Here is a 15,097-nt window from a genome sequence, read left to right as displayed (position 1 = left end):
ACCAACCACGCAATGGGCAAGCCTTCACCACCGTTTTACAGATGAACAAACAGAGGCTCACAGAGGCCGAGGCACTTGTCCACAGCCACAGGGTCAGTATGTGGGAGAGCTCAGACTAGAACCTAGGATTGTCCAGCTATAAAGCCTGTGCTGTTTTTTAAACCTCAAATAAAGAGACTTGAGTGAATCACATTCAGTCCACAGCACGCTGCCATCATCTCTCTGTGCAAGACCCCTCCGTGGATTTACTTTATTTTCATTTTTCCTCCTTTCTCCTCCAAACCCATACCGGGCCCCTCCTCCACCACTGCAGGGACCTACACCAATGGTGGGATAGAGACCCCTCAAAATGCATGTTGCTCTGTAAAATATGTGCTGTTGTTTTGTGTACAAATGTGTTTTTAATTTACAGAAATGGCATTGTGCTGTGGCTTTCATTATGTCTCACAGCTTTCACTCAAGATCTATTCTTGTTGCTGTGTGTACATCCAGCTCTTTGCTTCTTACTGTTGCCTAATATTCCATGCTTGGCTTCCGTCACATTTTCCTCTCCATGCCGGTGGTGGACGCGGAGGTTGCCTGCAACTCCCACTACCAGGAACAATGCTGGGACAAGCGTTCTTGGCCACACTCCTTCACAGATACGTGGAGAATGTCTCTGGGGTTACGTTCCTTCCAGGAGGAGGGTCAACGAGTCCTGCTCATCCTTCCTGCACCGTCCTTCCAGCTGCCCATGCTTTTTTCACACCACGCTGCCTTCTCCCTGCCTTCCTGCCTCTCCACCTTCCTGCCACTCCTCCCTTCCCTTGGTGCCACTCCCTGCCTTTAACCAGTTCTCCTGAGGGCCAGAGTACTGGAGGAGTTCTTGCCTCCTCTCCTTACCCTGTGTCTAGCCCAGTGCCTCCTGCCTAAGAGATGGGAGGATGGGTGTGTCCACCCTCCTTGGGTGACAAATGGCAGATGCTTGGGAACAAGGGCACTCCCTGAGAGCTGAAATACAGAGGGCTGGCGGAAAGCTTGCCTGAATCAGATCCCCTGCCAGGGATGCCTTCCTTTTGTGTGAAAGGCACCAGACCCAGGGGCAGAGAGATGGAGGCTCACAGACAGCCTATGTGTGCTTGGTGCTTTGCAGACACTGTGTCTCATTGGATCTTTGTAACAGCCCAGTCAGGTAGGGGAGAGCCTTGTCCTAAGTCCATCGCCAGTGGATTCCAACCAAGGTTCACCAGGCTCTGCAGCCTGACCTCTCACCCCAGGGCAGATGTGAGCACGCCAGGAGCTGAGGCTGCCTCCACATCACTAACCACCTGCCCACCATTTCTTTACATGAGACCTAAGGAAAACGGCTTGCTGCCTGGCACACTCTGGCAAGCAGCCAGTGAGCCTCAGTTTCCTCTGGGGAGGCTGCCTGGGAGTCCCTGCTGCGGCTGGGAAATCCAGGGGTGGGGAAAGCAGCGATGATGTGTCAGCACACAAGGAGTTAAGCGCTGGTGGAGCCCACTTTTGCCACACTGTGAGCAGCCTGGTTGATAATTACAGTTCTGAAGTCTCCAGGCTATTCGAATCAGTGCAGCTGCAACCTCTTCAGCAGTAACCCCTGAAACCAGACAAACTGGGTGTATTGTGCTGAACCAGTCCTCAGGCCCCTCCCTGATCGTTAAAAATTGACAGCAATGGACTTAACAGCCCTCTTCACTACCCCTTTCACTCTCTACCTGGCTGTACAGCCACCAATTTGAATCACAGATGCCTCCCCTCCCAGCAGCTGCTCACCAACCCCTCCCTCCGCCTCCCCTGCGCCTCTCTGCGGCTCCCCTGGCCCTGCCACGCCAGGGTGAGGTTGCCGAAGCACATTTCATCAATATTTAAAATGGAATTAAACCTGCAGCTTTGATTAATGCCTCCCAGATCCTGGGAGTTGTGATTACTATTTTGCAAATTGCGATTGTTGGAATATGTTAATATGATTGTCTGAGAATATCTTCACCTTCTCAGATAATTTCTCCCCTTTTTTGGTAGGAGGGGGAGAGGGAAAGGAGGGAGAAAAAAGATGGGGGAAAAACACCCCACAAACTCTTTAATCAATTGTAAATTATTACCCTTGGCACAACTGCCAGTGGTGCAGAGAGAAGGAAGATTTCTGGTTTGGTGCATTTATCTTAAAAATTTTTGGTCCCTGTTGGCCCGGTAATTCCACTCTGGGACACTATTCTTAAAGGGATAATCTATTTGTCTCGGAACTATTTAGAATCAGGAAAAAGGAAAATGTACATTTCTAAAAATGAGGGAATGATTATTTTGTTGTATATGCATTCATTTAACAAATAATTATGTGCCAGGCATTGTGCTAGATTCGGGGAGGTGGATACTATAAGACACTTGAGGGGATATTTAGCAGCTACTGAAAATAATTGTTAGGAAGTTTGTATAGCAACATGGGGGAAATGTTTTTGATGTGATAATAAGCAAAAGAAAAAAGGCAAGAAGAGACAAGAAATAAAAGTACACATAGTATATCCTATGTCATAACTGTGCACAGAAGAAAAATTAAAGATAAATTGAAATGTGAATAATAGCCCTGCACAGTGGGATGAGAGAGTTTCTCTTTCCGCTTTTATTTCCCAAATCTTCTTTCACTAATGGGTATTGACAATAGAAAAATAATTAAAATAATTATTGGCTTTTGCCGGGCGCGGTGGCTTACGCCTGTAATCCCAGCACTTTGGGAGGCTGAGGTGGGTGGATCACGAGGTCAAGAGATCAAGGCCATCCTGGCCAACATGGTGAAACCCTGTCTCTACAAAAATACAAAAATTAGCTGGGCGTGGTGGTGGGTGCCTATAGTCCCAGCTACATGGGAGACTGAGTCAGGAGAATCACTTGAACCCAGGAGGCAGAGGTTGCAGTGAGCCGAGATTGCGCCACTGCCCTCCAGCATGGTGACAGAGCAAGACTCTGTCTCAAAAAAAAAAAAAAAAATTATTGGCTTTTTTCCTACCCTCCAATGTAATGTCTTGGTAATTTCACGCATTTTGTTAATTGAAATAAGATATTTTGGCTGGGCGTGGTGGCTCATAACTGTACTCCCAACACTTTGGGAGGCTGAGGTGGACAGACTGCTTGAGCCTGGGAGTTTTAATCCAGCCTGGGCAACATGGCAAAACCTCCTCTCTGCAAAAAATAGAAAAATTAGCTGGGCATGGTGGCAAGCACCTGTGGTCCCAGCTACTCGGGAGGTTGATGTGAGACGATCACCTGAGCCTGGGGTGGTTGAGGCTGCGGTGAGCTGTGATTGCCTGGGTGACAGAGTTGAGAACCTGTCTCTAAATAAATAAATAAATAAATATAAAACAAAATTTCTAGGTTCCTAGAAATACCAACAGGGTTCTTGAACTCCTGAAAAGCAAAAAGACCTTGCATAAAGATACTGGTAAAAATGCATAAAAATCAGAATAGACAAATCCGTGCAGGAGAATTCCAAGTAATTTATGTACTCTGCCCTCAAAGCGTTGCAGCAAAAATCCCCACTTCTGAAGCGTGGCTGTGCATAGTGACTTTCAAAGAGTACAGTATGGAAAGGGAGCAGGGGAAAGTAACTTTATAATGGAGAAACCTCACAAACACTACCTCAGCCAGGTGATCAATGTTAACAGCAACATTGGTAAGTCGTGGTGACAGTCTGGACCCTTGATAGGATGGGATGAAAATGACACTTTACTTCTGTGATCTTCCTCCCAAACCCACAACTCCAATCTAATCATGAGAAAAAACATCAGACAGATTCCAGTTGAGGGGCATCCTACAAAATATCTGACCGATACTCCCCAAAACTGTCACCAAAACCAAGGAAAGCCTAAGAAACAGCTATCCCCCAGTGGAGCCTAAGGAGACAGGATGGGATCCTGCAACAGAAAATGGACATTAGGAAAAGGCATCTGTAAAAAGTATGGGCTTTAGTGAATCATAACATCAATATTAGTTCACTAACTGTGACAGATGTACCATCCAATGTAAGACAGTCATAACAGGGAAATTGAGCGTGGGGTACATTGACAACTCTGTACTATCTTTGCGAGAATTCTCTTAATTTAACTGCTTTCAAATAAACAGTTTAAGAAATACATGAAAACCCAGTGTGCTCCCTAAAAGGTGAGATCCTCATGTTCTCTAAGAGGAGTGGACATCCCTTCACAGACCCAGACATCCAGATTGATGTCATTCACTCCCTTTTCTTTCATGGTCCCCTCAGATCACAATTTTTGAATCTATACTTATTTGCCTTTTTTTTTTTTTTGAGATGGAGTTTTTGCTCTGTCACCCAGGCTGGAGGGCAATGGCGCGATCTCAGCTCACTGCAGCCTCCAACTCCCAGGTTCAAGCAATTCCCCTGCTTCAGCCTCCCGAGTAGCTGGGATCACAGGCCCGTGCCACCACACCTGGCTAATTTTTGTATTTTTGGTAGAGATGGGGTTTCACCATGTTGGCCAGGCTGGTTTCAAACTCCTGACCTCAGGTGATCCGCCCACCTCGGCCTCTTAAAGTGTTGGGATTACAGGTGTGGTCCACCGTGCCCGGCTTGCATATTTTTTTATATAATGTTTTTCTCTCCCATTAGACTGTAAGCTCTCAATGCAGGGACCATGTTTGATTTGTTGACCACTAGACCCAGCATACAGTAGGTGCTTAATAAATACTCTCCCAGATGAAGTCTGGAATAAGCCTTTTTCATTCTGACTTGTGTCAATTGCCATCAACAAATATTCCCTATGCACCCCCTTCTCGGCATCCAGGTCTCAACTCAAATGTCACCTTCTCAATGACCCTAATCTAACCGCCTCCACTCACAGTCACCCCATCTTGTCTTCATTTTATTTTCTCCATAGCATAAGCCACTCCCTGCATATGTATTTGTTTACGTGCATGTTGTCTGTCTCCCTATCCAGACTGTAAGCTCCAGTGAGACCAGGAGCCCTGCCTGCTTGTTCACTATGATATCCCAGTGCTTAGGGGAGTGTCTGGCACATAGTAGGTTCTCAGTTGATAGCTTTTGAATTAATGAATGAATTGGCAAGCCCAATCCTGTGGCCAGCCATGTGGCCAGTGTTAGGGACAGGTGGGACTGAGACCAGCAGTGAGCGCTGCCAGGACCCAGGTGCACTTCAGGTTTAGGTCTATCTTTGGGGCCGAAAGATGTCTTTATTCCGGTTCTGAAGCTTTGGAAGTGACCTCGCTGCCACCTGCATGCCCTGCCCTCATAGGTCATTGGGATAACTGGGCTTTTTATAGAGAAGAAAAGAAACATATTGCAAGAGACACCCCAAATCTGACCATGGGCTACCCCAGTGAAAAACTTCCCTGAGAAGGCTCTCCACTCCTCAGCCTGGCCTTCAAGGTCGCCAGGTTCCCCTGCTTCCCAGGCCTGCTTCCCTCCCCGCTTCCCTCCCAGCTCCCCTCGCACTGTAAAATGCAGCCACCGGAGGAACTGCAGTAGTCCACGTGCATGCTCGCCAGTGCCTCTGTGCCTTTGCACTTGCTATTCCCAAGGGACCACCCTTCCTCCTTCAGGACCTGGTTTGGGTTCAGGGCCTCTCAGAACACAACAGAGACCCAAGGTACTTTCCATTTTGTAGTATTAGTGTATATAAAATTGAAAACAGGCCTAAGCAAGGTGCTAACAATTACAGTATAGTTTAAACATTTACATTTGACAAATTACTTTTTTTTCTTTTTTGAGACGGAGTCTCGCTCTGTCGCCAGGCTGGAGTGCAGTGGCGCAATCTTGGTTCACTGCAACCCCCGCCTCCCGGGTTCAAGCGATTCTCCTGCCTCAGTCTCCTGAGTAGCTGGGACTACAGGCATGCGCCACCACGCCCAGCTAATTTTTGTATTTTTAGTAGAGATGGGATTTCACCATGTTGGCCAGGATGTTCTCGATCTCTTGACCTCACGATCCACCCGCCTTGGCTTCCCACAGTGCTGGGATTATAGGTGTGAGCCACGGCGCCCGGCGGACAAATTGCTGCTTTTAACACAAACAACCAAATGTAATATGAGTGTATTATTCTAGGATTTCTTCCAAAAATGTATAAGTTCATAGTGTGCTGAGGCACTATGGTCAGGAAAGGGGGTGTGAATTTTGAGTTGTCTGATGAACAGGGTCACAATCCATACTTAAAGGCCCCATGAATGTGTGGGCTGGGCTTCATACTCTCTTGGCTGTCCCCTACCCCCACAGACCCTGCCCGGATGTTAGCCTTCCCTGAGCCGAAGTCACAGTGTTCGTTGTAGTCACCCCCTCCAGCCTGTACCATTTACTTTTGATGGTCAGGGCCCAGCACAGATCTAGCACTTAAAGTATTTCATAAGTACGTGGTGAATAATGAATAAAGAAATGTAAATTTGGGGACATAAAAGCAACAGGTTTACCCTGTGGGGTTTTGACAAAGGGGGAGGAATTTCTTCCCCACCCTGGGCAAACAGAGCTTGTGAGAGGGCAAGGCAGGCACGCCAAGGGCAAGTCCAAGACCGCCAGCTGCTGGTTCCTTTTGTGATTTGGGGCAATAGATTGGGCAGCCCTACCACATGGAGAGGCTGGGTTGTGTGGGGTCATACCTGGGCACTAACCCCACTCAGGAAGCTCAAAGCCTGGCTGGCCTGGGACTTGCCTCTCAGTGAAGGCAGGGAGGAGCTGACCTGTACAGGGCACAGCTGTGCCGGGTCTGCTGAGCTGTGCCCAGGTCACCAGGTGACATTAGTGCAGCCTGCAGGTCAGTGCACAGCTGGGGGAAAAAGAGATCCTGAAAGTCTCAGAACAGCTGCAAGGAAATATCAGCTCTTCAGAGGATTCGCAGGGAGGGGGCAGTGTGGCATGATGGTTAAGAGCTTGGGCACTGGAATTCTGTCACTAGCCCACAGACCTTGAGCGAGTGGCCTCACACCTCCCTAGGTCTCATTTCCTCATCTACAAAGATGCCTGTCTTGAAGGCTTGCATGAGGACCAAGTGAGATCATTCCTAAAAAAGGTTAGCACAGCACTTGGGGCACAGGAAATGCCAAAAACCAAAAGAAACGCCAGAAGTTAACTTGTGAGGGTAGGACTTCAGGGCTCATGTGGCAACACAGCAAAGACTAGAAGGAGTTCTGGAGCCGAACAAGCCTGGATCCGATGCTGAGCCACCGACTCGCTGGGTGATTTTGGACACGTCACTCCCATCTCTGAGCCACCCTCCTCGTCTTTGTAGCAGGTTTCACCAGACTTTCTGCAGAGGGCAGAGTGAGGACTGACCAGGATGAACGGCCCTTGGTGGGCACCCAGGAATGGAAGCTACAATCACCATTGTGATAGGTCTTTCATTCCCAAAATGGATGCCTGTAAGGGAGCGTCCTTAAGGGACTCGCTCAGGACACTCCCAGGACTTCTGGTTCCCTGCCAGGATGGAGGGGGAGCCTGCGGGAGGAGGAGGTCTTCACACGAGGATCAGTGCCCTAGGATCAAGGGCCACAGCTCAGCTAATAATTTTTGTTCAAAGCCAGCAGGGCAAGCCAGGGCAGGCGAGCCCAGGGAAGGCAAGCAGGCGGATTGGGGTCACTGCACACCCACAGGCTGGGCTCTGCCTGCTCTTCGCACGCCTTTGGGCTGCGCACACCTGCGGTCACCGCTGCTATGCAGCTTCCATCCTGTGTGAGTGAGGGGGCTGGTATGGGGAGTAGGGAAGGGAAGAGACCAAGATGAAACAAAGCGTCTGCCTTGGGAGAGTGGCAGAGCTCACAATGGCCGGGCACTTAGGAGGTGCCCAGCTCCGCGTGTATGTGGGGGCTACACTCGTCCTCTCCTCAGTGAGTGAGATGGGGCTGTCTCCACTTAAGATGAGGAAACTGATGGGAGAAATGATTTGCCCCAATTCCTTCCATCAGGGCAGAGGGAAGGGCTCAGTGTGTCTGGCACCAGAGTTACGCTCAGTGAAGCTGCGAGTGTGTGCACAGACACAGGTGTGTGTGTATTCCCATCCAACTGCTCTCACACCAGCATAAGCGTGAAGAGATGTGTGCGTGAGTGTGGGAGTGGCTGCAGCTGAGGGGAGGCGTGCACATGGTGTGTGGCTCATGTGACTGGCTGAGTGTGGCAGGATGTGAGTCCCTAAAGTCTCAGTGTGTGTCATCACGTGCAGAGAGCAGAGGCACTTCCAACCCACAGAGACAGCCCAGGGCTTATGCCGAATGCCAGGGTGGCAGTGAGCACAGGGCTGGACCAGGACCTGGAGGAAGGAAGCTTCTGTCATAGGGGCTGTCGTCTTTTGGGGGGGTCTAGGCCCATCCTCAGAGGACTCCAGGCTGGGATGGGGGGTGCACTGCAAAGCAGGCTCCCCAGCTTGTGGGCACCTATGGGTCCCATTCACCGCCCTGCCACACCCTCTGTGCAAATGCAGCCTACGTGAGCTGGTGGGGCAGGGCCATGGCAGTGCCACAGTGAGGGCAGCAATGCCCAGGCATCCCCATCACCACTCCTGACAAGAAAGAGGCTTTGAACTTTGCTGGCAGTGGTGGCCAGAGGCCAAGGCCACAGCATTGTCAATATTGACTGAGGAGTCATTGCCTAGGCAAAGCCTGCCACAGGGCGGGGAGGTGGAAGGCCTTGGGCCTGCTCCGGCTTTTCCCCATAGAAGAGCATCTTCTGGGCTGGGTGGAGGGCTGGGCCAAGCACCCACAAGCTTCTCAAGGCCTATTCAAATGTAAAAGGCTTAGAAAAAGATGATTGGCTCTAAACAGAAAAAAAGAGAAACTACAAAACTGAAATTAATAAATGTTATAATTAATGCATTCAGACTTAATTATTAAATTTAGAAATCAAAACAATTTTATTACACTTGAAATCCAATTGTAGGCTCAATTTCCTCATTTTTCGAGAATTCTCCAGTATGCATGACTCTCAGGAAATCATGGCCAATTGTTAAAGACTCGTAGTAAAGCAGTTTACCAAGCAACAGCAAAATTTTTATATTTAATGTGGGATTTATATTTCATGTGGATACACTTTGTTTTAATATGTGGAAATAATTGAGGTGGGGTCTCCAAAGTTAGGCCTAAGGCTGGATTTAGGACTATCCCTGGGATGGGGCTAAGTCAGGGCAAGGAATATAGCTGCCTCATATTAGGAAGCACTTCCGTGTGCAAGGGGCCATGCCTGGCACTTTGCATGCCTGCCATCATGCAATCCTCATTAACATCTCTGTGTATGGACAGCTGGTGTTGTCTCAGGTGGGAGCCGTAGGTGCTTCAGTTGATGGGTGAGGGGAAAAGTTCCCATAGTCATAATGACCCTTGGAAATCTCTTAGGAAGGTCCCATGCTGGAGATGGACATCTCACTAAGTGCCACACAGCCAGACTTCTTATTTTTAAAAACTTTTTATAGGCCGGGTGCGGTGGCTCACGCCTGTAATCCTAGCACTTTGGGAGGCCGAGGCAGGCAGATCACGAGGTCAGGAGATCGAGACCATCCTGTCTAACATGGTGAAACCCCGTCTCTACTAAAAATACAAAAAACTAGCCAGGCGTGGTGGCGGGCACCTGTGGTCCCAGCTACTCAGGAGGCTGAGGCAGGAGAATGGCGTGAACCCAGGAGGTGGAGCTTGCAGTGAGCCGAGATCATGCCACTGCACTCCAGCCTGGGCGACAGAGCAAGACTCTGTCTCAAAATAAAAAAAGAAAAAAAATTTTTATAGACAGGGGGTCTCATTCTGTCACCCAAGCTGTAGTGCACAGTGTGATCATGGCTCACTTCAGCCTCTGAACTCCTGGGTTCAAGAGATCCTCCTACCTCAGCTTCCCAGTAGCTGAACTCCAGGTGTGCCACCACCCCTGGCTAATTTAAAAAAATCTTTTTTTTGTAGATATGGGGTCTTGGATTGTTGTCCAGGCTGGTCTTAAACTCCTGGCTTCAAGCAATCCTCCCACTTTAGCCTCCCAAGGTGCTGGGATTACAGGCACACCAAGCCTGGCCCACATAGCCAGTCTTCTGACAATTGTTAGAGAGTTTGTCTTGCTGTTGAGGTCCAGATGCATATGAGTAGTGTTTATGGGTGACACTGATCAAAACATACATATCTTTTTTTTTTTTTCCTCCAGATGGAGTCTCGCTCTGTCACCCAGGCTGGAGTGCAGTGGCGTGATCTTGGCTCACTGCAACCTCCATTTCCCAGGTTCAAGTGATTCTCCTGTCTCAGCCTCCCAAGTAGCTGGGATTACAGGCACCCGCCACCACACCGGGCTAATTTTTGTATTTTTAGTAGAGACGGGGTTTCACCATGTTGGCCAAGCTTGTCTTGAACTCCTGACCTCAAGTGACCCACCCACCTCAGCCTCCCAAAGAGCTAGGATTACAGATTTGAGCCACCGTGTCCAGGTACATATCTTTAAATGCTAGAATCATCCTCTGTAGCAAGGTGCTCCCCGGACAGGAGGCACACAGGGATGGAGAGGACTGATGCAGTGTCCTCACATTCACTGCAGAACGCATGTGTGCTGAATGGAGAGGGGATGCAAAATCACCAACACTGTTGATGTTGCTGTTCCTCCTGCTTCCTGGTGCCCCCTTTTCTTTTTGAGCACTTATAATTGAATCCATGTTCACTAAACATGTTCATGATGCCTAGCTGCTGTCCTAAGGCAGTTCAGAGGAACCAAGTGCCATGGCCAAGGTCACTCTGTTGGCCTGACCCCACAGCCTCTGCGTTGACCCTCTGCTTCTTTTGGCCCCTAATCCCTGGCTGCAAGTGGACGATGGACCGAAGGGGCCCCGGCAGGCGGGAGCCTGTTGTCCAGTTGGCAAATGTTGAAGGCTGAATTAAGACTAGAGCAGTGGCAACAGTCAGCAGGGGTGTTAGGCAGGAATCTGCAGAAGTCTGTGACAGACCAGAACTCATTGAATACTCACAGCAGTCGTGGAAAGACAATGTCATTACCTCTTTTACAGGGGAGGCTACTGAGGCTCAGAGGTGAAGGTGTCTTCCCGAGCTTACCCAGCTCATGTGAGTGGGTGCAGAGTGATAGCCAAGTCTGTCTTCAGAGCTGCAGCCTTGACCGCTACCCACTTCCCTGAGGAACTTTTCTGCAACTCCCGTCTTTACTCCTCACCGTCTGAAGGACTGAAGCTAAACTCCCTAACCTGCTATTCAAGGCTCTCTCCAGCCCACACTGGGTCCCTCTGCCTTGAATGCCTCACTGAGACCTACTCCTCCATAATCATCAAAGTCCAGTCTGAGGCCTCCTTGACACCTTCCCCATTCCCCAACACACAAGCCTTTTCAGCTGCTCCATCTGGAGCACCCTGTACCCCTGCATCTCTCTGGACCTTTGCCCATATTGCTCCTTCCCTTCCATGCAGCAGAATCCACCTCTCATCCTTTTAGGCCTAGCCAAACTCCACCTTTTCCAGGACATCATCTGGATAGCTTGGGACACACTGATGCTCTTCTCTGTGTGTGTAGCACACTGTGAATGTAGCTCCTGGCACCACTGAAATAGGGATACTCCCAGTTTTCTGGAAAGAATCTCATATTTGATATTTAAAATTAAACATCGTAGGGAATACAGAATTGTGTTGGACTGCTTCCTGTGCTTTTTTTTGGTTTATGTTATTTTGATTCCTAAGCTATATTTCGAGGGGTGGGAGTTTCTTCACAGTCTCTTGAACATTTAGGCTCCCTAAAGGGCCCAGGCCTCTATCCAGAGAACACCCACCCCAGTCCTGTGACTGTCTATTTATGTATATGTTCCCTCTAGCCCTGCACTGGTTTTGGTGGGGGCCAGGCCCTGGGTCTGATCCCCAAGTGAAACCCTGGTGGATGCAGGGACTCAACAAAGGCCTGTGTCTAGGGGGAGCTTAGGGGGCCTAAGGCTCTAGGTGCATAAGAAACGATGAGGATGATGGGGACACGTCCGTAACAGAATGCCAGGGGCTGGGTAGAGAGATCAGAAAACCACAGACCTCTAGTCCAGTCTTGAAATTAGAATTAAAAGCAGATGGGAGGAGGCCAGACTTCAGTTTGCCATGGTAACACTGGCTCCTCCCTTTGGGATGTGGAGTTAAGGAGGCCCCTGCTTTTCACCTTTTCACCCTGGGTGTAAAAGGATCACGACTGTGATTGTCAACATGCACCGAAAGGTGCTTCTTTAGGGCCAGCCGCTGTTCTTGCTGGAGTGTGTCATCTCACCTCATGCATGTCATCTCACTTCAGGCCCCAGCCCTGGAAGGGGGGTCTATTTCTGTCCCCATTTTTTCAGGTGAAGAAACTGAAGCTCAGAGAAGTTAAGGGCCTAGCTCAAGGTCACACAGCTGGTGAGTGGCAGAGTTGGGATCTGCTTGCAGATCTGGCTGGCTCTAAATACCTGCCTGTGACCCTGTCCGCCTCTCCTGGACCTGAGGGGTTTCAGTCAACAGTGCTGAGTTCCAGAGCTTGGGCTGAGAAAGAGAGTAGGCTCCGGCCTCATAGGGTCTGGCTTTCCACTCACTTCTATTAAAGGAGACAAAACAAACCATTACAGTGCTGGTCCAGGTTGACTCCAGCTACTGAAGGGGAAGCTGTGTCCTTCGAATGCCTCCAGGAGGCTGCCGTGGGGGAGTCGGGGGGCGGCAGGGGAGGAATTGTTACCAGAATCTGATGGGCACCATGGCTGGAAGGGGAATTTCCAGGGCCTTTGGAACTGGGGTGGGGAGAGAGGATGGCAATGGGCAATTCCTGCAGTCCAGGGAGAGGCGGCAAGCTGGGTAGGCTGTTATTCCTAGAGCAAAGGTCCTGACAGGGCTGTATGGATGGCTTCCAAGTGGCCAATCCCGCCCTCTGTAGGCAAAATTCTGTTTGTGAATTCAAGTGTATTTCTCTGGGGAGAGGTCCGTAGCTGGGCCTAGATTCTCAGACAGGTTCATGGTTCAGAAAAGGCCACAGCATATTTCATCAGTTCAGAGCATGGCCTCTGGTGTCAGAGGGACCTGGGTTCATACCCTGGTTCCTCCCTTTACTAGCTGCTTGATTGTCAGTAAATAACTTACTCCCAGAGCCTCAGTTTCTGCATCTGCCAAATACGAATAATGGTCTATTCCTCAAAGAACTGGGATGTGGTAAGTCCCTGGCACCATGGAGGCGTTCAATACTCATAACTTTCTTTCCTACCCCTTTTGCTTACAGCAAATGCGCGTCTGCTGGCAGGGATGTGTGATTGGTGCGGGCATTTGATTTGGCAGTTACAGCGTATTATCCCTCCACAAAGCCTTCATTACGGTGCTGCTAACAACACCGCAGATAAAGCATGGATGTCCCCGCGTGCCAGCCTCCAGGTGATTATAACATTTCGGTAAATTGCCTTTTGTCTCGCTGGAGGGATGACAGCGGGAGGAGGCTGTGGGGGAGTCTCACTCGGCCATTTTGCAGAAACTGCAAGGAAAGCACTGTGGCAAGGTAGCCTGGGTTTGCAGAAGGAGTTCCGGCCAGCAGTGGGAAACCAGGGTACCAGCCCTGGCTCTACCACAGACAGTCTGTGTGGGGTTGGACATGTGATTTGCCCTCTCTGGGTCTCAGATTTCTCATCTGTCAGGGGAAGGCAGTGGCTTCAAGATTAGGGGAGTCTTGGTTTGTCAGTGGCACTGAAACACTTGTTCATTGGCCAGGCGCAGTGGCTCATGCCTGTAATCCCAGCACTTTGGGAGGCCGAGGCGGGCGGATCACGAGGTCAGGAGATCGAGACCATCCTGGCTAACACGGTGAAACCCCATCTCTACTAAAAATACAAAAAATTGGCCAGTTGCAGTGGCTCACGCCTGTAATCCCAGCACTTTGGGAGGCCAAGGAGGGCAGATCACGAGGTCAGGAGATCGAGACCATCCTGGCTACATGGTGAAACCCCGACTCTACTAAAAATACAAAAAAAAAAATTAGCCAGGCATGGTGGTGGGCGCCTGTAGTCCCAGCTACTCGGGAGGCTGAGGCAGGAGAATGGCGTGAACCCGGGAGGCGGAGCTTGCAGTGAGCCGAGATCGCACCACTGCACTCCAGCCTGGGTGACAGAGCAAGACTCTGTCTCAAAAAAAAATACAAAAAATTATCTGAACATGGTGGTGGGCGCCTGTAGTCCCAGCTACTTGGGAGGCTGAGGCAGGAGAATGGCGTGAACCCAGGAGGCAGAGCTTGCAGTGAGCCGAGATTGTGCCACTGCACCCCAGCCTGAGTGAAAGAGCGAGACTCCGTCTCAAAGAAAAAAAAAAGAAAGACTTGTTCATTGGCCAAAGTTTGAGCAAGAAAGTGGGCAGAGAACTGTCTTGGGAATAGTCATCTGCAACCTTACACTCTTTGGATGTATACTTTTTATATCTCTATAAAATATAGGGCTGCTAGGCAGGCCCTCGGTTCTTTCTTTCTTGCACTAGTAAACTCCAACTTCTCATTCAAAGTCAGCTCTAACATTGTCTTTAGCTTTGAAGTCAGCTGGACCTGGCTTCCAATTCCAGCTCTGCCACTTGCTATCAGTTTGACTTTGGGCAGGCATTTCACATTGCCTCAGTTTCATCATCTGTAAAGTGGGAATAACAAGGATAATGACTTTGCAGGGTTACTGTGGAGATTAAATAAAATGAAATAAAATAAAATATATGTAAAGGGCTTAGACCAGTGCCTGGAACACAGTAAGCAGTTGGCAAATGCTGGCTATTATTATTATCCTGCTTTATCACCTGAAATAAAATATGGATACCTTTGTATATCAGTAGATCTAGTTCTTCGCTGCCATTTTTAATGATTGCATTGTATTCTGTAGTAAGAATAAACTATATGTTATTTAATCAGTCCTCTCCTATTGGACACTGAGGATGTTTCCAGTTTTCAACTGTCTAAAAAACACCAGAGAAAATTTAGAAGACAAAAGTGATCTTTCTTCTCTAGGTGTTCACTGTGCGGCTTAAATTTCGCCCTTTTCTAAAGCTGGGTGGGGAGCAGATAAACATCATGTCTGGGAGCTTTTCACCCATGCCTTTTTCAACAGATGATCTTGGAGCTGGCCAGAAATGGAAAGCGGGAAACCTGGGGAGGCAGGCGAGCCTGAGTGTGAATT

General features: G+C 49.3%; 1 protein-coding gene across 2 annotated transcripts in view; it reads right to left on the bottom strand.

Moving 5' to 3' along the window:
- MORN5 (MORN repeat containing 5) overlaps nt 1-15,097 on the bottom strand; it is a 40,176-nt gene that overhangs the window by 769 nt on the left and 24,310 nt on the right. The gene's annotated exons all lie outside the window — the stretch shown is intronic.

The sequence above is a fragment of the Homo sapiens genome, chromosome 9, assembly GCF_000001405.40.
Source record: "Homo sapiens chromosome 9, GRCh38.p14 Primary Assembly".
NCBI lineage: Eukaryota > Metazoa > Chordata > Mammalia > Primates > Hominidae > Homo > Homo sapiens.
This window is presented reverse-complemented; position numbering and strand designations above follow the sequence as displayed.